At 49.3% G+C, this 25,746-nt stretch overlaps 1 protein-coding gene across 8 annotated transcripts in view, besides 3 other annotated features; it reads left to right on the forward strand.

The window, feature by feature from the left end:
* PFKFB3 (6-phosphofructo-2-kinase/fructose-2,6-biphosphatase 3) overlaps positions 1–25,746 on the forward strand; it is a 181,717-nt gene that overhangs the window by 26,727 nt on the left and 129,244 nt on the right. The gene's annotated exons all lie outside the window — the stretch shown is intronic.
* Positions 1,763–1,812: an enhancer, noted in NCBI's record as "active region_2963". NCBI's record gives its function as "activates an Ori minimal core promoter by ATAC-STARR-seq in GM12878 lymphoblastoid cells {active_cell/tissue: GM12878}" and the evidence as "EXISTENCE:reporter gene assay evidence [ECO:0000049][PMID:35858748]".
* Positions 11,055–11,646: an enhancer, noted in NCBI's record as "H3K27ac-H3K4me1 hESC enhancer chr10:6224665-6225256 (GRCh37/hg19 assembly coordinates)". NCBI's record gives its function as "activates a minimal SCP1, AML or CMV promoter by ChIP-STARR-seq in primed H9 embryonic stem cells {active_cell/tissue: H9 hESC(primed)}" and the evidence as "EXISTENCE:reporter gene assay evidence [ECO:0000049][PMID:30033119]".
* Positions 15,848–15,907: a silencer, noted in NCBI's record as "silent region_2102". NCBI's record gives its function as "represses an Ori minimal core promoter by ATAC-STARR-seq in GM12878 lymphoblastoid cells {active_cell/tissue: GM12878}" and the evidence as "EXISTENCE:reporter gene assay evidence [ECO:0000049][PMID:35858748]".

Below are 25,746 nucleotides of genomic sequence, written 5' to 3' on the forward strand. Positions count from 1 at the left end.
CTCCCAAAGTGCCAAGATGACAGGTGTGAGCCACCACTGCTGGCCTAGATATCTATTTTTTATATGAAATTTCTATCATGTACATAATGTGTTCGTGCAATAGCACATGTATATTAGATATAGATAAACAGGTTGTTGGGGGTAGAAAAGTTTGGATATCAGATCAGAAAAGTTTGGATATCTCAGCTCAGAGCCACGATGAGAGTGGGGAGGGAGCCCGCGCTTCTCAAGCTCAAATGCCTAGGAGTCCTTTGGAGATGGCGTTCAGATGCAGATTCTTGTTCCATAGATCTGGCTGGAGCCCAAAGTTCTGCAGCTGGCGGGCTGATTCAGAAAACATGAGTTGGTGCTTTTCCTCTTTTTGCCGCCGTACTCCATTGAGAGTCTTAGTCATGGAGGGAAACCCGAAAACCACCGGTGTCCGGGACAGATACTCTGACGCATTCTCCCGGAACACCCTGGGGACTGCGAGAAAGCCCCTGCTGGCTCACTCGTTTGCTGGGATCAGTTCCCATCAGGCATGCGGCTGTGCTTCTTGGTATCGATTTGCTTCTTGGTCCCATGGCTTCTGCAGCCCACGTCGGGAGGGCAAGGTGTGGTGCAGCCTGAGAGAAGCATGCTCCTTTGCAGGAAGGAGAGGGAGGCGCACAGGCGGGCCTTTTGGAGCAGAGGAGGCAGAGGAGTCCAAGCTGGGTGCAGTTCCTCTGCTGCAGCCCTGAGCTGGGCAGACAGGACACTTCGCTGGCCTTTCCTGGCCTCATACTTGTCACTCGGTGACACTGCGACCAGTGTGAGCAAACGTTCAGAAAGCACATTTAAACACTGTTACTTAAAATTGCAACTTCACAGGGCCAGTATTCTTTTTACCATGTTCCAAATGAGGAAACCGGGGTGCTGAATGATTAAGTGACTTATCCAAGACCACAGGGCTTGCAAATGGCAAGTGGGAGGATTGTTTGAGCCCAGGAATCTGAGACCAGCCTGAGCAACATGATGAGACCCCATCTCTACAAAAAATTAAAACATTAGCTGGGTGTGGTGGCGCATACCTGTGGTTCCAGCTACTTGGGAGGCTCAGGCAGGAGGATTGCTTGAGCCCAGTAGGTCGAGGCTGCAGTGAGCTGTGATTGTGCCACTGCACTCCAGCCTGGGCCACAGAACAAGACTTCATCTCAGAAAAAAAAAAAAAAGTTCACCCAAGGCAGACAACTTGTCCAGGGAGGGCAGAGCTAGATGTTCCTGTGACTGCAGTGCTGGGGCGCATCTGTCCTCTGTCCTGAAAGCAGGCCGCTCCATGCTCATCTCCCACACCTTCACCTCCTGTTAGGCCAGCGTCCACTGCAGTGGCCCAGCTCTTCCCAGCATCCCCTTACACAGGATCTGTGTTCCCTTCATGGTTTGGCCTGCATGTCCTTCAACCTGGGACGTCCACTCTCTCTCAGTTCTGTCCTCATTGTGCCCTACTTGTCTACTTCGGGAACTCTCCTTCACCACTCACCTCACACCCTTCCTCCAGGAAGCCCTCCCTGACTTTCTAGGCAGAGTTGGAGCCCTCACCCTGGGCATTTCCACAGCAGAAACTGTCCCACCACAGCCGTTGCTGGTGGTCATGTTTGTGTTTGCCAGCAGCCCACAAGAGGTCGAGGCGCAACCTGTAGTCCTCAGCTGCTGGGGCCGGGCAGTGGTGTGCTTTCAGCCTGGAGGGGGCGCTCAGGAAGAGGTTGTCCACTTGTGTGCAGCTTTTATGTGTCCTGTGCATATGGTTACAGCACCGCTTCCTGTGAAGGAGTTGAGCTAGGGGTTGTGCTGAATGCAGAGAACAAGATACAAACTTAAAGAGGCCTAGGGTGTGGCGGGAAACACACACCCCTTCCCCCACCTATATATGCTCACGTGAAAAGGTGCAGACAAGTATTTGAGGTAGTGCAGAAAATAAATGCTTGGAGAACAGCAAGGGAGGGATGTTAGTAGACACAGAGGGAATAGACAGAGGCAAAGGGGGTTTCTGGGTCTCCAGAGATCTGGGGGGCTAGGTGCAGGAAGGCTTTTTTTGGGAGAGAAGCAGATCAGCTGCGGGGGTGCAGAGAGAGGGAGGGGAAAGGTTGCTTGAGGCCTCATTGTAGAGGACCTTCCGTGAAGCCTAAGGAGGTTGAACTTGGTCTTAGTGGCAGTCGGGAGCCAGTGATTGTTTCTGAGCAGGGGAAGAAAACCAAAGTACTGTCTTAGGAAGATGAGTCCCTGTCAGCGGAATGCGCAGTGGACGCAAACGGGAGGCGGGGAGGAAGAGATGGGGAGTGAGGGCCTGTGGTCCAGGTGCGGCATTTAGAATTTAATCCGCACAGATAGTAGGCACGGAAAGAACATAGATGATGTGTGCGGGAGTTGAGATTTGGGGATTGACCAGGTGTGGGGATTGGAGCGGCTTGAAGAGGCAAGTTCCAGTAGAAGGAGTCATTAGTCCTTACACGGTGCTCCTTACTCCAAAGCCTGTATTTTTTCTGCTGACTTCTCTGAGCCTTAGTCTCCTCTTCTGTAAAGTAACGGGCTTGGATCTCTTGTTATTTGTTCTGGACTCCTGGCACAGATCTGCTGGTTCCTTCATGCCAATGACCCAGGCCTGTTTACCAGGAGAAGCAGACATCGTGACCTTTCCCGTCCAGCCTTACAGCCTAGTTTATCAATCCAGGACAGGGGTTCTTAGAAGAGTCCTCTCTGGTAAACAATAAACAAGTGCTGTTCCGTCTGCCTCGCGGTGCCCCCACACCTGCCTGGCCACGTCACACTGGCAGATGGGACGCGGGCATCAGCTCAAGTTCTGTGGAGCGAGAGATTCCGTGGCCCGGGCTGACCTGGGCTTGGAGGCCTGGAGCTGCCTGCGGCCCCCGCCGAGAAAGCCAGGAGCTGGGGCTCGCTTGTCAGGCGTGTTTCTGTTTCTGTGGCACTGGGCCTGCTGCCCCTGGACTGTGGAGACCCAGTGACTGGCGCAGGGTGAGAGCCAGGGTTGGGACCAGTGTGCGGGCACAAAGCCCCAGAGGAAGGTGCGCTCTGGTGGCTCTGGCCCTGTGATCTCCGTGCAGCCCTCCCACGGCTCTGCTGGGGGAAGCTCTGGGGTCCCTGTGTGTGTAAAAACTCTGGGCCTGAGGAATAGCTTCTACTTTGTTTCTTTCTTTAATTTTTTTTTTTTTTTTAATACGGAGTCTCACTCTCATGTAGGCTGGAGTACAGTGGCACGATCTCGGCTCACTGCAACCTCCACCTCCCAGGTTCAAGGGGTTCTCCTGCCTTAGCCTCCCAAGTAGCTGAGATTACACCTGCCTGCCACCAGGCCTGGCTAATTTTTGTATTTTTATTAGAGATGGGGTTTCACCATGTTGGCCAGGCTGGTCTTGAATTCCTGACCCCAAGTGTTCCGTGCGTCTGCCTCCCACAGTGCTGGGGTTACAGGCGTGAGCCAGTGCCCCCAGACTGTTTTGTTTCTTTTCTTTCAAAATTAAATTGTCCCCAGCTTCTCTCCTCAAACCTCAGTTTTACCCCCTCTTTGGTTCCCATGCACAAGTAGAGAGAATATGAGGTTGTCATTTCAATGGCCATTATGACCAGAAAATTGTGAGATTGCATCTCTCAGTCTTGCTCCGTCCCCTCTCTTCTTTCCCTCCTTTCCATCATGGCACTTTGGGGCACTTTCAGGTACACAGAGTGTTGGCAATAACAGTAAATATCCTGAGGTGGGGAGCACTTGGATTTGCCTGGCATGGATTGCGTGTTTGTAGGTGGGAACTCATCCGAGTGTGGGGACCACAGTGCTGTTGTCATCCCCGTATGACAGATGGCACAGCTGGGGCACCGCAGGCGCCAACTAGCCCGGATCTCTCACTGACCAGCGCTAGGGCTGCAATAGGAACCTGGCTGGCTGGCTCCAGGGCCCGGGCTCTTATCCGGGAACAGTGTTGTTCTTATTTGCCTAGATCAACAAAGTCACTGTAGAGAAAGACAAAAACAAAACAAAATCCAAACCAAGTAAGCCAAAAAAAGCTTAGCCTGGGGACCCAGTTCTACATTTGGTGGTGGTCATAAAAGAGGCTACCCAAATGGCCCGTAAGCATAGAAAGCACTTCAACCTCCCTAATTATTCAAGAGATGCAAATTAAAGCCACGGTGAGATACTACTCCACACCTGTTTTAGTTAGAGTGGCTAACAAGAAAAAGACCACATGTTGGGGAGACTGTGACTCACACCAACTCTCATATCAGAGTAGAAATCCATACAATCATCTTGGCAGCATTTACCAGAGCCAAGCATCTGCACACAGAAGGATCCAGGAAGCCCCCGCCTTGGCGTAGACGCATGCACTCAAGGTGCACAGAAGAATGTTCACTGCGGCACCCCAACGGGTGAGAGCCCCCAAACGGAAAGAATGCAACGTTCCATCAGTGTGGAGAAGTCAAGTGTGGTGTTCGTGCAGTGGAATACTACAGAAGGATGAAGAAGAACCAGCTATTGCAGGAAGGGACACGGTGGAAGAATCTTATGGGGAAAATGCTGAGGGAAGGAAACCAGGCCAAGTAAAACAGATAGAAAGTTCAAGACCCTGCAGATCGTCTGTATCCGATGTCAAGACATGGGTTCCCTTGAGGTGGTGATGGGAGGGGGCACGGGGGTTTCTGTAGCGACCTGGTTGATGGGTGGGGGTTGCATAGGCATGCTTTCCTGTGAGGATCGTCGAGCTGTGCATTCTGAATGTATTCTATACTTCTCATTTACCTGTTTAATTGTGCAAGAGATGGGGTCTCCCTCTGTTGCCCAGGCTGGAGTACAGTGGGCCCATCATCGCTCACTGCAACCTCGAATCCTGGGCTCAAGTGATCCACCCACCTCAGCCTCCTAGGTAGCTGGGACCATAGGTGTGCGCCATCATGCCTGGCTAATTTTTAAGTTCTTTGTTGTCCAGGCTGTTCTTGAACTCCTGGGCTCAAGCAATCCTCCTGCCTTGGCCACCCAAAGCACTGGGATTACAGACTTGCACCACCACACCCGGCCTCCATGTTATATTTCCATAATATGTTTATTTGAAAAGTGACTTGGGTGCCAGGAGACATGGGCCCTCCCTAGTCCTGGCTGTCTCTAACTTGTGAGTGACTCAAGCTGTCTCCGGTTCCACTTTCTGGAAGACTAATGGCTTGGATGAGATCGTGGTTTTCAGATCTGTCCTAGCCACAGAACCCTCTCTTCAAACAAGCCCTTACCTGCAATCTGAACATAAAATGCTACCTGGTGGGACTCACGAGTGAGTTCCGGACAGGACAGGAGACGGCTGTCACTGGGCTCCAGGATGTGGGTGGCAGTGCCTGACTTCCCGCTCCTGCCTGCTGTGGGAGACGAGCTTCTTGCACTGGGGCCTGATTTCCCAGGCTGGCCTCTCAGATCCTGTGGCTTCAAGTTCTCCTGGTCATGCAGTGTCCTGGTTCAGCACTGAATTGTTCCCTAATGGTTTCCTGTGTGGCAGATTCCTTAGCTCTACAGTGAACTCTAACAGGGTAGGCTTGACCGGCTTCTGTGGTTTGCTTGGAGTAGTTAGGATGAAAATTCAGAACCTGCCTGCTGACTGAAATGGGCGTTCATGTCTTAGAATGCTCACCAGATTGCTTTTTCTCTTACACATAGTAGAGGTCAATAAAACGGAGTTTGTGGGATGTTTCTTTTCTTTTCTCTTTCTTTCTTTCTTTCTTTCTTTCTTTCTTTCTTTCTTTCTTTCTTTCTTTCTTCTTTCTCTTTCTTCCTTTCTTTTCTTTCTCTTTCTTTCTTTCTTTCTTTCTTTCTTTCTTTCTTTCTTTCTTTCTTTTTCTTTTCTTTCTCTCTCTCGCTCTCTCTTTCCTTTCTTTTTCTTTTTTTTTTTTGAGACGGAGTTTCACTCTTGTTGCCCAGGCTGGAGTGCAATGGTGCGATCTCGGCTCACTACAACCTCTGCCTCCCGGGTTCAAGCAATTCTCCTGCCTCAGCCTAACAAGTAGCTGGGATTACAGGTGCCCGCCACCATGCTGAGCTAATTTTGTTTTGTATTTAGTAGAGACGGGGTTTCACCATGTTAGGCTGGTCTCGAACTCCCGACCTCAGGTGATCTATCCGCCTTGGCCTCCCAAAGTTTGGGATTACAGGTGTGTGCCACCGTGCCTGGCCAGGATGTTTCTGATGCAGGGATAAGGTGGGGAACTTGGGAAATGGTGTACACCACTGACGGCCTGGGGCACATGGGGTGGACACACTGGGAGTGGATACCTGAGGTGGGCACGTGGGGTGGACACGTGGGTGTGAGTGGTCACCTGAGGTGCACACGTGAGGGTGGATATCATGAGGGTGGCTGTCAAGAGGGTGGATGCTGGTTCAGGGCTGGCATGAAGACCCTAGTCAGGAGGGAGCCAAGGCGTCCAAGGAGGCCCTCAGGCTGCAAGTGTTGGTTTGGCCCCAGTCTTGGTGATGACAGGACCTTTGGGAATCTGAAGCCCGGTGACCTTGGGCTGTGGGGAGCTGGCGGGCTTTATCTGCCCAGCGTCTCTGCCCCAGTTTTGGGCCTGTCTGTGATGCTGGGCACCTGCTGATGTGCGCAGCTTCATTCATTCCTCCTCCACTCACCCACCTGACCACTGTGTGGGGCGCCCCTGCTGTGGGCCAGGCTGGTTCCAGGGTCCATCAGCAACAGAAACAAAAATGCCCTGTCCTCTTGGGGAGACACAACCAGCAACAAGAGAACAGCGAAGGAGGCGTAGGACATGCGGCTGATATGGGCTTAGGGGAAACGCAGGCAGGAGAGGGGGCTGCAAGCTCAGGCGGGAGCTTTGGGGCCAGGAAGGCCTGGCTCAGAGGGGACTTGGGTCAGGGTCACAACAGGGAGGTGAAGCCACTGACCCGGAGCTGCTGGAGAGCTTCCGGGATGGACAGAGTCCGCCCCACGGGTCCCTCCTGCCCTCCCTCGGTGCCTGCCCTGGGCCGTGGAGATGACTGGGGAGCAGCTGGGCGTTATTTTCCCCGGGGCCAGGGTGGGCATCTCGGCCTCGAGTTGATCTGAAAGGATTTACTGCTGTCAGAGCCACCCCATCGTGTGCAGCACGGACTGGGGGGGATTTGAAGGCAGAGGGCCTGGGGTGTGTCCAGCCCCACCTGCCCCTCGGCCCCAATCTGCTTCTGGAGAGTGGCCTGGCTGAGCCGGGACGCAGCGCACTGGTCCCTACCTTGGAGGCCTGACTCCCTTGAGAAGTGTCCCCAACCCAGTTCCCGTCTCACTACCAGCCACCACCTCCCCAGCACGGGGTCCTCCGCAGGTGATTTCATCTCTGAGGCGGCTTTCTTATCTCTGGAAGAGCAGTACTATCTCCCTGGTGGAGTCGTTCTAAAAATGAAAGGCAATGTGTTCAAAGTGCCCAACACGTGCCTGCCGTATTCAATAAAAGGGAGCTAGTATTCATTTAACAGCTGAGAAGAAAAACAGTGAACACTTCTTGAGCTCTGTTTATCTGCCTTGTTTTACTGGAGGAGAAAGTGGGGCACAGAGAAATTCAGTTATTGGTCCGAGGTCACACAGCGTGTGAGTCGGGAAGGAAGGGGCAGCTGGAATTTGAACCTGGCAGTCTGGCTTCCCTCTGGGGAAGAGCAGTGGATGAGGGCGAAGCCGACAAGAGCCCAAACTCATCTGCGCTGCGCTGCTTTTGAGCCACACAAATCCAAATAAGGGATCATCCAAATCCTTTATTTTCTCTCGAAGTTTTGTGATCATTAATCAGTTAACAGCTTGTTCCCTTCTGTGCTGGACAACCCCCAGCTGCAAGGGGCAGGAATGGAGCATGGGGGAGGCTGTAAAATAGATCACTCAGGCGTTTCCCTAGCGAGCCCCCCGGGAATGAACAGAAGGGTTTCTCTCCTATGGTGGGATGTTGCTGTCCATGGGGGTCGTCGAAGGACGGGTGTGGAGGCCCAGGAGGACTGCAGGCAAGAGGGGAGAAAAGGAAGAACCCGTCTCCCCTCAACTGGATCATCATGGGCTGTGTTGCACTGGTAAACCAAGGTGCCAAGGCTGCGGCAGCTCAGATGGGAAGGGGACCCTGTTTTCTGAGCATGCAGACGCCAGGATTATAGGACATTCTGCCAGGCACAGAAACCACGAGAGCCCACCTTCCCCAAAGGCTGCTGGCTCCAAAGTGGGGAGGGAGTGGTTGTTCCCAGGTGATAAGTGATGAGAAGACCGTTGAGCCCCCAGAGTGACACCCAAGCATGTAACTAACTCGAGACCAGGAGCATCCACTGACAAACGCCCGGTGAGGTCGATCCTGGTGACAGGATCCAGGTGCTAGTCGGGTCCTGAGTCGAGTTGCTGGACTCGCAGCATTTAACCATTCAAAATAACCAGCTTTAAAAATGTGTGTGGGCCAGGCTCGGTGGCGCTCGCGTGTAATCCCAGCACTTTGGGAGGCCAAGGCAAGAGGATTGCTTGAGCCCAGGAGTTTGTGAGCAGCTGGGCAACATAGTGAGACCCTGTCTCTAAAAGAAAAAAAAAATGCTGTAATTGACATTCTTTTTAATGGATGGATGGAGGAATGAATGAATGATTGCTTTGCAAGACAGCATGAACCTCAGGTTCCAGAGTCAGGCTTAAAGCAATCAGATTGAGGGGGACCATGTAATATTTTTTCCTAACATTAACAACAGGCTTATTGTACAAAGGACAGGAAAATATGAAGAAAGAAATCATTCATAATTACATAGCAGAATAGCCATTGTTAACATTTCAATTTTCTTCAAGTTTTTTCTTTTCTTTCCTTTGGTTTTGTTGCTGTTTTGTTTTGTTTTTTGACAGAGTCTCCCACTTTGCCCAAGCTGGAGTACAGTGGCTCAGCCGTGGCTCACTGCAGCCTCAAACTCCTGGGCTCAAACAATCCTCTTGTGTCAGCCTCCTGAGTAGCTGAAACTACAGGTGTGCTTCACCACACCTGGCTAATCTTTAAATTTTTTGTAGAGATGGGGTCTTGCTATGTTGTCCAGGCTGGTCTCAAACCCCTGGCCTCAAGCAGTCCTCTCACCTCACCTTCCAAAGTGCTGAGATTACAGGTGCAAGCCACCGTGCCCTAGGTTATTTTAATATAGTTTATCACCAATGTATGCAATTCTGTGTTCTGAGTGCTTTACTTTTAATGACCCAAACTAAGATGTTCTACTCTGTGTGTTAGTTCTCTGGCAAGTAGCAGAATTGTGGTATGTGTTCCTAAAACTAAGATGTATCCTGATCACGTGACAGAGGCTGATACCTCTTTAAAAGATAAAGTTTGGAAGTGAAACAGAGACTAGAACAGATATTTGTCACACCCATGTTCTATTTTATTTTCATTTGTAATTATTTTAGAGACAGAGTCTGGCTCTGTCGCTCAGGCTGGAGTGCAGTGGTGCAGTCATAGTACACTGTAACCTCAAACTCCTGGGCTCAAGCTATCGCCCCACCTCAGCCTCCCAAGCAGCCAGTACTGTAGGTGTGTGCCATCACACCTGACTAGTATTTCCAAAAAAATGTTTTGTAGAGATAAAGTCTTGCTGTGTTGGCTCTGCTGGTCTCAAACTCCTGGCCTGGAGTGATCCTCTAGTCTCAGCCTCAGTAGCTGGGATTATAGTCATGAGCCTCTGCACGCAGCCCACGCCCATGTTTATATCAGCATTATTCACAGTAACAAAGAGGTGGGAGCAACCCAAGTTCCATGGAGGGATGAACAGATAAGCAAAATATGGCCCATCCACACAGTGGAATATTATGCAGCCTTAAACAAGAAGGAAATGCTGACATATGCTACAACATACATCAGCCCTGAAGACAATGTTCTGAGTGAAATAAGCGAGACATAAAAAGACAAATACTGGCTGGGTGCAGTGGCTCACGCCTGTAATCCCAACACTTTGGGAGGCTGAGGCGGGAGGATTGGTTCAGTCCAGGAGTTCAAGACCAGCCTGGGAAACATAGCGAGGCCTCACTGCAGGGTGTGGTGGGACACATCTGTGGGCCTAGTTACTCAGGAGGCTAGGGTGGGAGGATCACTTGAGCCCAGGTGCTCAAGGCTGCAGTGAGCCAAGATTGTGCCACTGCACTCCAGCCTGGGCGATAGAGTAAGACTCCGTTTAAAAAAAAAAAAAAAAAAAAAAAGACAAATACTGCATGATTCCACTCATATGCGATCTCTAGAAGAATCACACTCACAGAGACAAAGTAGAATGGAGGTGGCCAGGGGCTGGGGAGGGAGAATGGGGAGCTGGTGTTTAAATGGGGACACAGTTTCCATTGGAGAAGATGGAAAAATTCTGGAGCTGGATGGTAGCGATGGCTGCATAACACTGTGATTGTGCTTACTGCCCTGAACTGTGTGCCTAAAGATGGGGAAAATGGACAATTTTATGTATGTTTTGCTACAATAAAACAAAAAGCAAAAGATAAGAGTTGGAGCTGAGGTCCCTGGCTTCTGGCCTCCTCAGTCTTGGCGGATTCTTCCTCCCTGTCTCCCCAAGTTTTCTCTCTAATCCCTCACCTGGCTTTTCTGGGCAAAGGCCAGCCCGCTTCTCACCACCCCCTTCTCTCTTGCATATGCATCCCCCCAACATTCACACAGAAGCACGCACACACACACCCCTTGAGGTCTAGACTGGGGGTCTGGGTGCAGGAGGGTCTGAGCTGGGAGACCTCCCCACTGCAGCAGCAGTGTCACAAACAAGTTGTCCTGCACCTAAGACTAATCTGGAGTGGAGGCTGGGAAGGAAGCGGTCCTGGTGCTGCCGGCAGCCTTTCCATCCTAGGGCCGAGCTGGCTGGGGAGAATGAGGGGCCTTTGAAGTCCCAGGCCGATCCCTTCGCCAGACCTCCCAGGCCAGGTCTCCACGCCAGCACTGTGTTTCATCACAAGTGCAAAGCTTCCAGCAGAGCAGTAGGTCCCGAGCGGGAGTGCCGGGATGTGGCCTCGAGGCCCCCGCCTGTCATTGTCTCCCAGCCTCAGGCCCTGTTCCCCTTCTAGGCTTGTGCCACACCAGGCTAAGAATCAGAGCCTGGGTGTGGGGGCAGGGGGAGCTGGAGGAGCGGGCAGGACTGCCCAGTGCTTTCCTGGCTTAGCTGGGCGAAATCCAAATGCAGTGAAGTTCGCCTTGCAGTCCAGTGTCCATGGCCAGGGCAGGAGGGCAGAGGGCTGAGCCTCTGCCAGACAGAGCAGTGCCCTTCCCAGCCCCCCAGGGTCTTCACTTGCTTCACAGAGGGTCAGCTGGAAGGACTATGGGGCCCCACAGACCCACCTGTCGCCACAGGTTGAGAACATGGATGGGGCGGTGCCCAGCACGGTCCCTGGCTCCAGGACACAGTGCACAGCCACAGCCCATACACGCCCCAGCCCCAAACCTAGGAGACTTGGTCCTTCTGTGTCACACCTCTGTTCTCCCTGGAGTTGCAGGGGATTTTCTCTGGAAACTACCTAGTAGTTTAGGGTCCTAAGAATTTATCCAATCTTCTTTCAGAAGATCACCCAGTTCTTCATTCTCAAAAACAAAGCACAAAGACTTTGAACAGCTGCGGAATGGCTTGTCATAAGCCACACAGGAGAAAAGTCCGCAGGCCCAGCACCACGCCAACTTTGGGGTTGGCTTATTCTAGAATCTAGACTATTTTTTTGCTCACAAATTATCTCTAAAACACCTCCAGCTCCACTAGGATTCTGTTTACTAACTGCTTCCTGTGCACCTGTCTCATTTCCTCAACAAGGAATAGAATGCTTGCAGTCAGGTGCCCCAGCCCCACCAGCCTGAAGCTGGGCTTGTAGCTGGCACCATGGTAGGTGGCAGTGAAAACTGGAGTCTGGCCTGGTGTGGTGGCTCATGCCTGTAATCCCAGCACTTTGGGAGGCTGAGGCAGGTGAATCACCTGAGGTCAGGAGTTCGAGACCAGCCTGGTCAAAAAAAAAAAAAATATATATATATATATATGTATATAAATAATATATAAATAATTACATGTATAGTTTTGAAAGCAGGAATTTTTTTTTTAATTTTTTTTTTTGAGACAGAGTCTCGCTCTGTCACCCAGGCTGGAGTGCAGTGGCGTGATCTCGGCTCACTGCAAGCTCTGCCTCCCGGGTTCACGCCATTCTCCTGCCTCAGCCTCCCAAGTAGTTGGGACTACAGACAACTGCCACCACGCCCGGCTAATTTTTTTTTATATTTTTAGTAGAGACGGGGTTTCACCGTGTTAGCCAGGGTGGTCTTGATCTCCTGACCTCGTGATCCACCCGCCTCGCCCTCCCAAAGTGCTGGGATTACAGGTGTGAGCCACCGCGCCTGGCCTCAAAGCTGGAATCTTTACATGACAGGCATGAGCATCACTGGAGATGCTTTTTGTTTTTTATTTTATTTTATTTTATTTTTGAGACAGAATCTTGCTCTGTTGCCCAGACTGGAGTGCAGTGGTGCCATCTCGGCTCACTGCAATCTCCGCCTTCTGGGTTCAAGTGATCCTTGTGCGTCAGCCTCCCGAGTAGCTGGGGTTGTAGGTGCCCACCACCACGCCCGGTTAATTTTTGTATTTTTAGTAGAGACGGGGTTTCGCCATGTTGTCCAGCCTGGTCTCGAGCTTCTGACCTCAGGTGATCTGCCTGCCTCAGCTCCACAAAGTGCTAGGATTACAGGTGTGAGCTACCACACCCAGCCTGGAGAAGCTTTTTAAACATTGCACCCCCAAAAGCCCCATCCTGGCAATTCTGGTTTAATCGGTCTGGGATGGGGTTGACACAATGGGTAGTTTTGAAGTTCCTTGGTGATTCTTTTTTTTATTTTGTATTTTTTGAGATGGAGTCTCACTCTTGTCACCCAGGCTGGAGTGCAATGGTGTGATCTCGGCTCACTGCAACCTCTGCCTCCCAGGTTCAAGTGATTCTCCTGCCTCAGCCTCCTGAGGAACTGGGATTACAGGCTCCCACCACTGTGCCTGGCTAATTTTTGTATTTTCAGTAGAGACGGGGGTTTTACCACGTTGGCCAGGCTGGTTTCGAACTCCTGACCTCAGGTGATCCACCTGCCTCGGCCTCCCAAAGTGCTGGAATTACAGGTGTGAGTCACCGCGCCTGGCCTTTTTTTTTTTTTTTTTTAAGAGAGCGTGTTTAGCTGTGTTGCCCAGGCTGGTCCCAAACTCCTGGGCTCAAGTGATCCTCCCATCTCGGCCTCCCAAAGTGTTGGGGCTACAGGCGTGAGCCAGCCTGCCGGCCTTCCTCATGGCTCTTACGTGCCACAGGTATTGAAAGCCACTGATCTCCACCATGGTCAGACTTAGCCATCAGCTTCGCACGTTCACTCTTTTTCTCTCCCCAGATTATTTAACAAGTTAGCCTGGATCTCAATTTATTGAAACCCGACACAAAAACCCTGATTTAAATAACCAGGAGGCCCAGTTATTTCCATGAGGACACTAGAGGAAGAAGCACTAGGGTGACCACGGCACGCCCCACGAGGGCCTCTGTGGCCTTGAGACACATCACTCTCTGCCCACAAGGACTCTCAGCTCTTTCTCTGCTCCTCTCCTTTGATCCCTCTGCTGGGGGTGGATTACAGAAAGAACTGCTGGCTTCCTCCGTAATCTCTTTACAAGGCCCCTTGGGGTGGGCCGTTCCGAGCTGGTTCCACTCATCCGCTTACTCACAGTGGCAGGAGGGTTAGCCACTAAGCTGTTTATCAGTCATTGATAACTTCACATGAGGCTTACATTCTTTTCTGAAAACACGTTTTCACAAGGATGGAGAGAACACACCATAGAAACAGGCCACTGCGGGGGCGAGGAGACGGCAGAGGGACGCCAGGGTCTCCCATCGGCTCACCTCTGGTCTCGCCCCTCTTCCACCGGGTGCTGCTGGACCTGTGGTCCAGCCAGGGGCTCATCTGGGTCACTACCTGGCACTCAGGCCCTCACCCAGTTATACCAGATCAGTACTTCCTCCCCGCTCCTTTTTTTTTTTTTTTTTTGAGATGGAGTTTCACTTTTGTCACCAAGGCTGGAGTGCAATGTGAGATTTCGGCTCACTGCAACCTCTGCCTCCTGGGTTCAAGCGATTTTCCTGCCTCAGCCTCCCGAGTAGCTGGGATTACAGGCACCCACCACCACGCCCAGCTAATTTTTGTATTTTTAGTTGAGACAGGGTTTCGCCATGTTGGCCAGGCTGGTCTTGAACTCCTGACCTCAGGTGATCCACCTGCCTCAGCCTCCCAAAGTGCTGGGATTACAGGCATGAGCCACCGCGCCTGGCCCCTGTCCTCCAGTTTTAAGAACTCGAGCCCCTCTCCCAGTGGTATAAAGTCTTGCTGATAGGGAAGAGCAGGAACCTTGGTGGCCCAGTAGAACTACTGGTGACCCTGGCTGTCAGAGATAGAGCAAGGCCAGAATAGGAAGGTGATTGGTGGTGTTTTCGGTGGTATATGATGGAGAAATGATTAGAAATAAAACTATTTTGTTTTTTATTTTAATATTAATATTCTAATTAGAAAGTTTGTATTAGCATTTTAATGATATTCATAATATACTTCATAGTTAGGGATGCTTTTGGCTGTAAGTAACTGGATACTGGACCAGCAGTGGCTTAACTCCATGGAACTAATCACACGACCACATCCTGTGGCATCCTCAGCAAAGGGGTAGATGGGCCCAGTGATGACTCATTCCTGTGGATGGAATGGAAAATAACTTTTTCTGAAACTGGGAGTCTCTGTCTCCCTCCATTAGCCAATCAAGGTTCATTCAGCTGAGCAGTGTGGAGTGGTCGCAGGTATACCAGTGAACAGTGCCCCCACATAAAGTGAAATTCACCTTCACCTTTCTTTTACTATTACTACATGCTATTTAGTTATCAGGGGAAACTGAATTTGTCACAGATCATTTCAAGAATGGCACTGTGTATGTGGATTGGAGATTAAATGTATAAACATCATGGTCTTGTCTGGCTGCAAAGTGTAGTATCTTTTCTCGCTCTTAAACAATTTCTCATTTTTTGTAGAGATGGGGTCTTGCTATGCTGCCCAGGCTGGTCTCAAACTCCTGGTCTCAAGCCATCCTCCCACCTCAGCCTCCCAAAGTGCTGGGATTACAGGTGTGAGCCACTGCACCTAGCCTTTATTCGTTCTTTTTGTAATAAAAGGCTATGTTTTAGAAGGTGCTTGTTGAAAAAGTATGTTATAGGAAGAAGATACTGTGGCTGAGACTGCTAGCATCCCCCAATACCCCTTCTCCTTGCTTCCTCAGTAGCAGAATCCCAGGCAGTTGCCCAGCTCAGAGGCTATGTTGCCTCCCTGCATTTGCGGGGAGGTGTGCCGCCACGACTGAAGCTGGCAGGGGAGACCAATGTGGAAGTGCGGTGTGGGCTTCTGAAAAGTTGTCTCGAAAGTGAAAAGGCAGCCGGGCGCAGCGACTCATACCTGTAATCCCAGCATTTTGGGAGGCCAAGGCGGGCAGATCACTGAAGGTTGGGAGTTCAAGACCAGCCTGGCCAACATGGTGAATCCCTGTTTCTACTAAAAAAAAAAAAATTAGCTGGACATGGTGGTGGGTGCCTGTAATCCCAGCTACTTGGGAGGCTGAGGCAGGAGAATTGCTTGAACCAGGGAGGTGGGGGTTGCAGTGAGCTGAGATTGCACCACTGCACTCCAGCCTGGGCCACAGAGTGATACTCCGTCTCAGAAAAAAAAGTGAAAAGGCAAGGGCCTTTTTGTCCTATCTCACTTCGCCTTACTGCCAGTAGTAGCTTGGTATTTAAATAGTGTAACAGGTGCAGTGTGGTTTATATTACGCTGTCTCATGTACAGTAAGTGATGAGATGGGAGAAGTTTAGACAACTGCTCTAGGCTGCGTCTCTACAAATTACTCATTTCACGTTGGGCAGGTCTTTCGTTGTCAGCAAATGGAAAGTCAAATTAAATGTATTTGTCATTATCTTTCAGCATTGGTGTTTGAAATATTAGTGATGTCTTGATTCATTGTTTATTCAAAATAGAATTTTTAGCTGCCATGGGTTTAAAAAAGGTAAGAATTTTGCTCAGAAGTGTGCACCTTCCGAAACTGAGGATCATCCTTTTGAGGTGAATGTGCAGAATTATTAGCATTTATACTTCTCATGAACTTTAACATTTCTGAGTTTTAGCTGTTTTGAAATAATTCCAGACTTAATAGAAAAGTTGCAGAAATAGTGCAAAGTGTTCCATAGCACTCTCACCTAGATTCTGCAAGTGTTACCATTTGACTCCTCTATCATTCTCTCCCTCTCCATTTCTATCTATCTATCTATCTATCTATCTATCCATCCATCCATTTACCTACCTACATATATATATATATATATCTGCCTCATAAAGAGGAAGAGAAAATATATTTATATGGATATATGTGTGTACGTGTGCGTGTGTGTGTGTCTGAAGACAGAGAGAAATATATGTCGTGCCCAGCCCCTATTTTTTTTTCTGAACCATTTGAGAGTTAGACGCAGACATGATGCCCTTTTGTCCCTAAGTACTTCAGGGTGTATTTCCTCAAAACGAGCACAGTATCATGATTGAAATCAGGATATCAACACTGATACAGTTCTGTTATCTAATATGCAAACTTCAAGTCTCACCAATTTTCCCACTACTGCTCTTTACCTTTAGCAAAATCAAGAACAACATTTAGAGTGATTCAAGGTTTCATCCAGGCTCACAAGCCTTTCATCTAGTGTGTCCTCAATCTTTGCTGCCTCTCATGGCCTTTGTATTTTTGAAAAGTGCAGGCACTGATTTTTTTTTAAACATTTTTTTTCAAAAGTTTAAAATGCGATAAAAATGTGTGACACAAAATCTACCATCTTAATCATTTTTAAATGTGTACAGTTCAGTAGTGTTAGATGTATTCACGCCATTGTGCAATAGATCTCTAGAACCTTTTCATCTTATAAAACTGAAACTCTGCACCCAATAAACAACAATTCCTAATTTCCCCCACCGCCTGCCCCTGACGTCCCCCGTTCTGCTTTCTGTTTCTGTGAATCTCTTGTAGTGACCTTGTGTAAGTGGAATCATACGGTGTTTTTCTTTCTATATCTGGCCTGCTTCGCTTAGCAAAAAGTCCTTAAGGTTGACCTCTGGTGTAGCTCTGACGGATTTCCTTCCTTTTAATTTTTTTTTTTTTTTTTTTTTTTTTAGACGGAGTCTCGCTCTGTCCCCCAGGCTGGAGTGCAGTGGCGCGATCTCGGCTCACTGCAAGCTCCGCCTCCCAGGTTCACGCCATTCTCCTGCCTCAGCCTCCCGAGTAGCTGGGACTACAGGCGCCCGCCACCTTGCCCGGCTAATTTTTTAAAAAAATTTTTTAGTGGAAACGGGGTTTCACTGTGTTAGCCAGGATGGTCTCGATCTCCTGACCTCGTGATCCGCCCGCCTTGGCCTCCCAAAGTGCTGGGATTACAGGCGTGAGCCACCGCACCTGGCGATTTCCTTCCTTTTTAAGGCTAATATTCAATTGTCTGTAAATTCCACATTTGGCTCATGCATTCCATCTGTCGATGGACACTTTGGTTGCTTTACCTGTTTGCTATTGTGAATGATGCTGCAATGGGCATACGTGTGCACGTATCTCTTCCAGAGTCAGGTCACTTATTTTTTAGAATATCCCTAATTTTTTTAGAATATCCTTAGTTTTTAGAAAATAAGGTCACTTATTTTTTAGAATTTTTTAGAATATTTAGAACTTGGGTCCATCTGTTGCTTCTTCCTAATTAGCTTTAGGTTCTGTGTGTTTGTCAGGGATGCTCGAGTAGTAGTGATGTGCCTGTCACAGACCAGACTGCTGATGGTGAGGTTCACTTTTTTTTTTTTTTTTTTTTGGGAGACAGTCTCGCTCTGTCACCCAGGCTGGAGTGCAGTGGCGCGATCTCTGCTCACTACAACCACCACCTCCCAGGTTCAAGCGATTCTCCTGCCTCAGCCTCCCGAGTAGCTGGGACTACAGGCATGCACCACCAAGCCCAGCTAATTTTTGTATTTTTAGTAGTGATGGGGTTTCACCATGTTGGACAGGCTGGTCTCGAACTCCTGACCTCAAGTGATCCGCCCGCCTCGGCCTCCCAGAGTGCTGGGATTACAGGCGTGAGCCACTGCACCTGGCTTGAGGGTAACTTTATCACTTGCTTAAAGATGGTGCCCGCCAGTTTTCTCTACTATATGGTCACTATTTTGTCCCTTTGTGATAAGTAAGGATTCTGTGGGGAGATATTTTGAGTCTCTGCAAATATCTGTTTTTATTTTTTATTTTTGAGATGGAGTCTCGCTTTGTCATCCAGGCTGGAGTGCAGTGGTGTGATCTCGGCTCACTGCAACCTCTGCCTTCCGGGTTCAAGTGATTCTCCTGCCTCAGCCTTCCGAGTAGCTGGGATTACAGGCACCCATGACCACGCCCAGCTAATTTTTGTGTTTTTAGTGGAGATGGAGTTTCACCATGTTGGCCAGGCTGGTCTTAAACTCCTGGCCTCAAGTGATCCACCCGCCTTGGCCTCTCAAAGTGCTGAGATTACAGGCGTGAGCCACCACGCCCAGCTGCAAATATCTTGTTTGTTATCAAGCTTCCACCCACTCGGTGATTCTTGTGTGAAACAATTATTCCTGCAGTGATTACCCAGGGATGACCTACAGATTCCGTCGTTCCTTCTGTACTTATTTGTTGATATTCTACTCTAAGGAAAAGCTTTCCCATCTCCTACATGCATTCATTCATTCATTGTATCCACAGTTGAGTGGATTCATGTGTTCCTATGTTTCTCTGGGTTTTAGTCTATTACTATCATTATTCATTTTGTTGTTCACATTGTACAGGATTTTGGGTGCAGTGGCTCATGCCTATAATCCAGCACTTTGGGAGACTGAGGCAGGGGGGACTGCTTGAGGCTGGGAATTTGAAACCAACCTGGGCAACATCGTGAGACCCCATCCCTACAAAAAAACAAAAACAAAAACAACAGATTGTACCAGATTTGGCCAGTGGGGAACCCTTTAGAATAGGCTCGTGTGTTTCTTGATATATCCACATCATCTTCCCATTAACTTCTATTTCAACATCAGGGTTTTCTGTGCCTCATGTCTCTATTTATTTCGGAGATAGGGTCTTGCTCTGTCACCCAGGCTGGAGTGCAGTGGTGCGATCTTGGCTCAGTGCAACCTCCGCCTCCCCGGTTCAAGGAATTCTGGTGCCTCAGCCTCCTGAGTAGCTGGGATTATAGGCGTCTGCCAACATGCCCAGCTAATTTTTGTAGTTTTTGTAGAGATGGAGTTTCTCCATATTGGCCAGGCTGGTCTTGAACTCCTGGGCTTAAGCGATCCTCCCAGTTCTTCGGCCTCTCAAAGTGCTGGGATTACAAGGGTGAGCCACGACACCCAGCCAACTTCCTGTCTTTCAACAGTGATCAATTGTGGGTATACATGACATACGAAATAACAAAGATTAAATCTATTTCAAGCTGTCAAGTGGCCGAACACCGAAGGCTGCCACAGGAAAATTATTTAAAGATACATTTGTTAAAAATACGTTGATTGATTAAGAAGTTAGAAATTGAAACAGAACTATTTCTACTTAGGGTGTGAACCCCATATCACACTCTGAATCCCCACCAGCAGGGACCGCTCAAGACCCGTTGCGTGCCAAGGGTCTTGACAAAGGAATGTCCCACCCAATCTAGGGCTCCTAGCCCCTGGACTACCCAACTTGGTCAAATGTATGCCTCACTGTTCCATCAGCGGTTTCACTTAATATAGCAGTTCTAGACTCAGAGACTTTTACACAGAGAACCCCGAGATCATTCTGAACTTGAGGTGCAGGACAGTGCATTGTGCAAAGTCACAGAGTTGCTGAGAGGTAGAGCTGGGATGGGGGCTCGGGCCCCCCCTAGAATCACAGGATCCTTACGTCCAGGGCTAGTCAGAAGCCAGCGAGTTTGAGTCGCAGCTGTTGGGGAAGTCCCTCTGGAATGGTTTCGACAGGTAGGATCTGGCTGCTGCATTTGCCGTCCCTCTGGCCCACCGCTGTCCACTGTACAGAGAAGGCATCTCTTTCTACCTTCAAATCAGCATCTGGTTTCTGTTCACAGGAGCAACGCGATGCACGACAACCCCCGCGCCTTCGTCAGTGGCTCTAACTCCTGTCACAGCCTTGTTCCTTCTCCCTGTCTCGCTCTTTAGCCGTTTCTCGTAGGGATGGTGTCCAGGTGGCTCGGACACCCTGGTCGCCGTTCTCTGGGGGTAGATGAGTTTATGAAGACCAAATTGGATATGAGCAAAAGCACTCTTGGTAAAATTGTATTCAATCAATCCCTAGATGAGTATTTTTTTTAACTATCCAGGCCCACCCCAGATGTCTGAATAGATTTCTTCTGATCTTGGCTACTCTGTGATTTGGCCTTCACTCCTTGATTTACCCAGCAGAGTCAATGACATTCCCCAATACACACACACACACACACACACACACACACACACACACACACACAGCTTTCTGAGGAGGAGTACACAGAAGGGAACACGATCCAGTCTCAACACTGGCGATGACAGACCGTCCCATTCTCTCATATGAACCCTACACATTGATCCAGCCCAGCCTGGAGGTTTCCTAACATCTCGTCAGCAGCTAGCATCGCTGTCCAAAACCTGCCCGTTTTTTTTTTCTTTCTTCTTTTTTTTTTTTTTTTTTGGCTTGATTTGGCTCTATTTTTAGAATGTTTTCCACTGGGAGAAGGAAGAAATATGAGGGGAACAGAGCAGGGAGAGGTGCCAGCTGTGGCTTGCCAGCCTAGGGTTGCTCCGTGGCATGTGTTTACACTGCAGTCATGGGCCGGCCTTGCCTGGCCCCTGCGGGTCACCCGGGCATGCTTCCCATACCCAGCAGAACGTGATCTGGGTTCCAGTTTCTGTTCTCCCTAGTCCTGGGTTAGGAAACTCAGTTGTTTTGACATTGACTCTTCCCCTCACCCGTGTGTGTGTGTGTGTGTGTGTGTGTGTGTGTGTGTGTGTGTGTGTGTTGGGGGATGTCACTGATCTGCTGGGGAAACCAAGGGGTGAAGACCAAATCATAGAGCAGCCCAGATCAGAGGGAATCTATTCAGACATCTGGGGTGGGCTTGCACAGTTACAAAAAGTGCTCATCCAGGGATTGGTTGACCTAATACTTTATAGTTTTTCCAAAAGTGCTTTTGCTCATATCCAGTTTGGTCTTCGTAAGGACCTCTTGAGGTAGATGGGGCTGCTGTTCTCATTCTACAGATGATTTTACTGTGAATGGCTGTCTGTCCACCTCAGAGCCCTGCAGGATTTATGGAAGCTGCTTCCAGCTTCTTATGTGAGCCAGTACTCGCTCCTACTTAGGATTATATATTGAGGTTGGACATGGTGGCTTATGCCTGTAATCCCATCACTTTGAAAGGCAGGAGATTTGCTTGAGGCCAGGAGTTTGAGACCAGCCTGGGCAGCATAATGAGACCCCCTGTCTCTACAAAAACAAAAGATAGAAATTAGTTGAGTGTGGTGGCATGCGCCCATAATCCCAGATACTCGGGAGGCTGAAGTGGGAGGACAGTTTGAGCCCAGAAACTCTAGGCTGCACTAGAGTTTGTGTGATTGCACCACTGCACTGCAGTCTGGGCAACAGAGCCAGACCCTGTCTCAAAAAAACAAAACAAAACAAAACAAAAAAGTATTGTGTATCCATTAGTTGAATCGCTGCAAAGGTAAACATTCATTCATTCATTAAGCAAGCATAGATTGAACACCTTCTCCATGTCGGACACTGTGGTAGGATCTGGTGATTCAAAGATGAACAGCTGTCCCTGTTTCTAAGTTGCCTGTAGTCCAGTGATTACTCTCAGGTTTCTGTCTCAGGTGTCCGTGTGGAGAGACTGCCAAACAGGCTTTATGTGAGCAACAAGGCTGTTGATTTCACCTGGGTGCAGGCGGGCTGAGTCCAAAAAAGGAGTCAGCAAAGGGTGGTGGGATTATCATTGGTTCTTATAGGTTTTGGGATAGGCGGTGGAGTTAAGAGCAATGTTTTGGGGGCAGTGGGTGGATCTCAGAAAGTACATTCTCAAGGGTGGGGAGAATTACAAAGAAACTTCTTAAGGGTGGGGGAGATTGTAAAGAACCTTCTTAAGGGTGGGGGAGATTACAAAGTACATTGATCAGTTAGGTTGGGGCAGAAACAAATCACAATGGTGGAATATCATCAGTTAAGTCGATTTTCACTTCTGTGAATCTTCAGTTGCTTCAGGCCATCTGGATGTATATGTGCAGGTCACTGGGGATATGATGGCTTAGCTTGGGCTCAGAGGCCTGACAGTTTCTATTAATATTTGTATTTCATTGAGAACAATGGGAACCATTGGTGTCTGCCATTTGGGAAGTGGAAGAGATGCTTAGACAGATAAGGGAGCAGAGGTCTAGACGAGGTGTAGAGAGGGTCAGAAACCAGGTTGGGGTTCCTAACTCCCAAGCCACGTCCCCAGCCACCTACCGCAGTCACTGTCTTGCCCTCCCATTCCTATTGGATAAAAGCTTTGGAGATAAGACAAGCCTGGTTCATCACGGTTGAGTCTCTAAACCTAGATATGCAGAGGTTCCCTGGAATTGCTTCTTGAGTCCCTGATTAATTCAGCTCTTGACATCACAAGATGAACTCACTCTTTGGTGAATTGCACAGACTTTTGAAAACTATGTTTCCGCTGCGCTAAAGTCTAGGAGCGGGCTCCTTAGCCTGAAGGATGCCTGTTTCAATGGGACGTGACAGCTGCTTTCAAACATTTAAGGGCGAGCACCTGTTGTTGGAGGGGGATGCAGGCTTAACCCATGTGCAGCAACAGAAAGAGACAAGGGGGCATTTCCAGGAAGATCAACTCAGCTTAGTGTAAGCAATGTCTTTCTAGCCAGTAGCGCCATCTGATAATGGAGCAAACAGCTTGGAGCCAAAGAGCCAGAGGTCTAAGCTGAGGATCCCAGGACTCTTCAACAGGGGTTTGTGGATTCAGTGGGAAGCTGGCCCAAGAGCTTTCAAGGGCCTTGGAGTGACCACCTGATTTGTCCCTTTGCACAGTTTGCCTGGTGCTGCACTTAGAGCTTCACTCTGTGAAGGGCATAGAACACCAACACTCTTCTCATGGCAAGGATGGGCTTTTGCTCCTGTTTCTTTTCTTTTTTCTTTTTTTTTTTTTGAGACTGAGTCTTGCTCTATCACCCAGGCTGGAATGCAGTGGCGCAATCTCGGCTCACTGCAACCTCCGCCTCCCAGGTTCGAGCTATTCTCCTGCCTTGGCCTCCCGAGTAGCTGGGATTACAGGCACCTCTTACCATACCTGGCTAATTTTTGTATTTTTATAGAGATGGGGTTTCACCACATTGGTCAGTCTGGTCTTGAACTCCTGAGCTAAAGTGATCTGCCTGCCTCAGCCTCCCAAAGTGCTGGGATTACAGGCGTGAGCCACTGCGCTCGCCTCCTGTTCCTTTTTCATCCACGCTTTGGAAGAAGATGGTGTCAGGGTCATAGAAGACCCTTAGAGAGGAGACATGGGGTGGGGTGGTTTAGGCATTAGTAGTGGCCATGTTTCCCCTACCCTGAATGGGGCTTTGCCCAGGGCTGTTCCATCGGGTTTATCTGGGCCTCACAGACGTCTAGAGTTTTCTTCATCTTGTTGTGTCTGGGTCTGCACAATACTGAGGAATTGTCTGGCAAGAAACAAAGCTACTCATGTTCTAGGACATAGTTCCATGGCTAAGCATGAAAACAAGCAAGATCCAAGTGTTCAAGGGCCCCTGCAACCCTGACATGCCTCCTAGGTGGCTGGCCATGTCTGCATGGGGTCACTGCGGCCCAGGACTCAGACTTTCCTCTAGAAGTTGGTTTTGGCAGTGTACCCAGGGAGACTGAGTCACCAAGCAAACTGGTAAGAGAATGCAGATAAACGTGGTTCACTTCCAGGAGGATCACAACTGCCAGCAGAGAGTATTCGGGGGGCTCCCCGCAGAATTCTCTTGGGGGAGAAGGTAGGTGGGAGTTAGGGGCCATTGTGTGTGGCGAGGCAGAGAAGGGAGAATTCGGGCTACTGTCCTGGCTGCTCTGGCAGAGCCAAGGTGGTGTGATACGTGAGTTTCTCAGTCCATTTTCCATTCACTTATTCTCATGGCAGATGGTGATCTCCTTTGGGGAGGTGAGGCCCGTCACTACTTAATGTGGCAAGGTTGCGGGTTCCAACATCCTGCTCTTTTTCTACTCTACCCCTCCCCTTGTTTTCAAGACTTTGAGAGGAATTTTCCAGAATCAAGCTTTCTGGCTCTCCTTCCTCTTTTGCTTTCATAAGGACAAACACTATTCGGGGGAGAGGGCGGGAGAGATATTGAGAGCCAAGGCACATGAGACAGCACGGGCAGCAGGGTGCTGCCTCGTGAGCTTGCCTTTTTTTTTTTTTTCTTTTTTGAGATGGAGTCTCGCTCTGTCTCCTAGGCTGGAGTGCACTGGTGCAATCACAACTCACTGCAGCCTCCACCTCCCGGTTCAAGCGATTCTTCCACCTCAGCCTCCCAAGTAGCTGGGACCACAGGCGCCTGCTACCACACCCGGCTAATTTTTTGTATTATTTTTTGTAGAGATGGTGGATTAGTCAGGGTTCTGTAGAGGGACAGAACTAATAGGATAGATGTATATATAAGGGGAGTTTATTAAGGAGCATTGACTCCCACGATCACAAGGTGAGGTCCACAATAGGCCGTCTGCAAGCTGAGGAGCAAGGAAGCCAGTCCAGGTCCCAAAACCTCAAAAGTGGGAAGTTAATAGTGCAGCCTTCAGTCTGTGGTCAAAGGTCCAAGAGTCCCAAAGCTGAAGAATTTGGAGTCTGATGTTTGAGGGCAGGAAGCATTCAGCACAGGAGAAAGATGTAGGCGCAGAGACTAAGCCAGTCTAGTCTTTCCACGGTCTTCTGCCTGCTTTTGTTCGGGCCCTGCTGGCAGCTGATTAGATGGTGTCCACCCAGACGGAGGGTGGGTCTGCCTCTCCCAGTCCACTCACTCAAATGTTAATCTCCTTTGGCAACACCCTCACAGACACACCCAGGATTTTTCAATCCAATCATCTTGACACTCAGTATTCACCATCACAGATGGAGTCTTGCTATGTTGCCCAGGCTGGTCTCAAATTCCTGTCCTTAAGCAATCCTCCCCCCGTCACGCTCCCAAAGTGCTGGGATTACAGGCCTGAGCCACTGTACCTGGCTTGTTTTAATCTTTTATACTGCATTTTTACTGTACTTATTATTATTATTATTATTATTTTTGAGACAGAGTCTTGCTCTGTCCCCCAGGCTGGAGTGCAATGGCGTGATCTCGGCTCACTGCAGCCTCTGCCTCCCAGGTTCAAGCGATTGTCCTGCCTCAGCCTCCCAAGTAGCTAGGATTATAGGTCCCCGCCACCATGCCCAGCTAATTTTTGTACTTTTAGTAGTTTTACCATGTTGGTCAGGCTGGTCTCGAACTCCTGAACTCAGATGATCCACCCACCTCGGCTTCTCAAAGTTCTAGGATTACAGGTGTGAGCCACAGCACCTGGCCTTACAGTACATTTTCTATGTTTAGATATACAAATACCTACCATTGTGTTACAGTTGCCTACAGTATTCTGTAGAGTCACATGCTGTACAGGTTTGTACCCTAGGAGCAACAGGCTAT

This window comes from Homo sapiens, chromosome 10 (genome assembly GCF_000001405.40).
Source record: "Homo sapiens chromosome 10, GRCh38.p14 Primary Assembly".
NCBI classification, from domain to species: domain Eukaryota; kingdom Metazoa; phylum Chordata; class Mammalia; order Primates; family Hominidae; genus Homo; species Homo sapiens.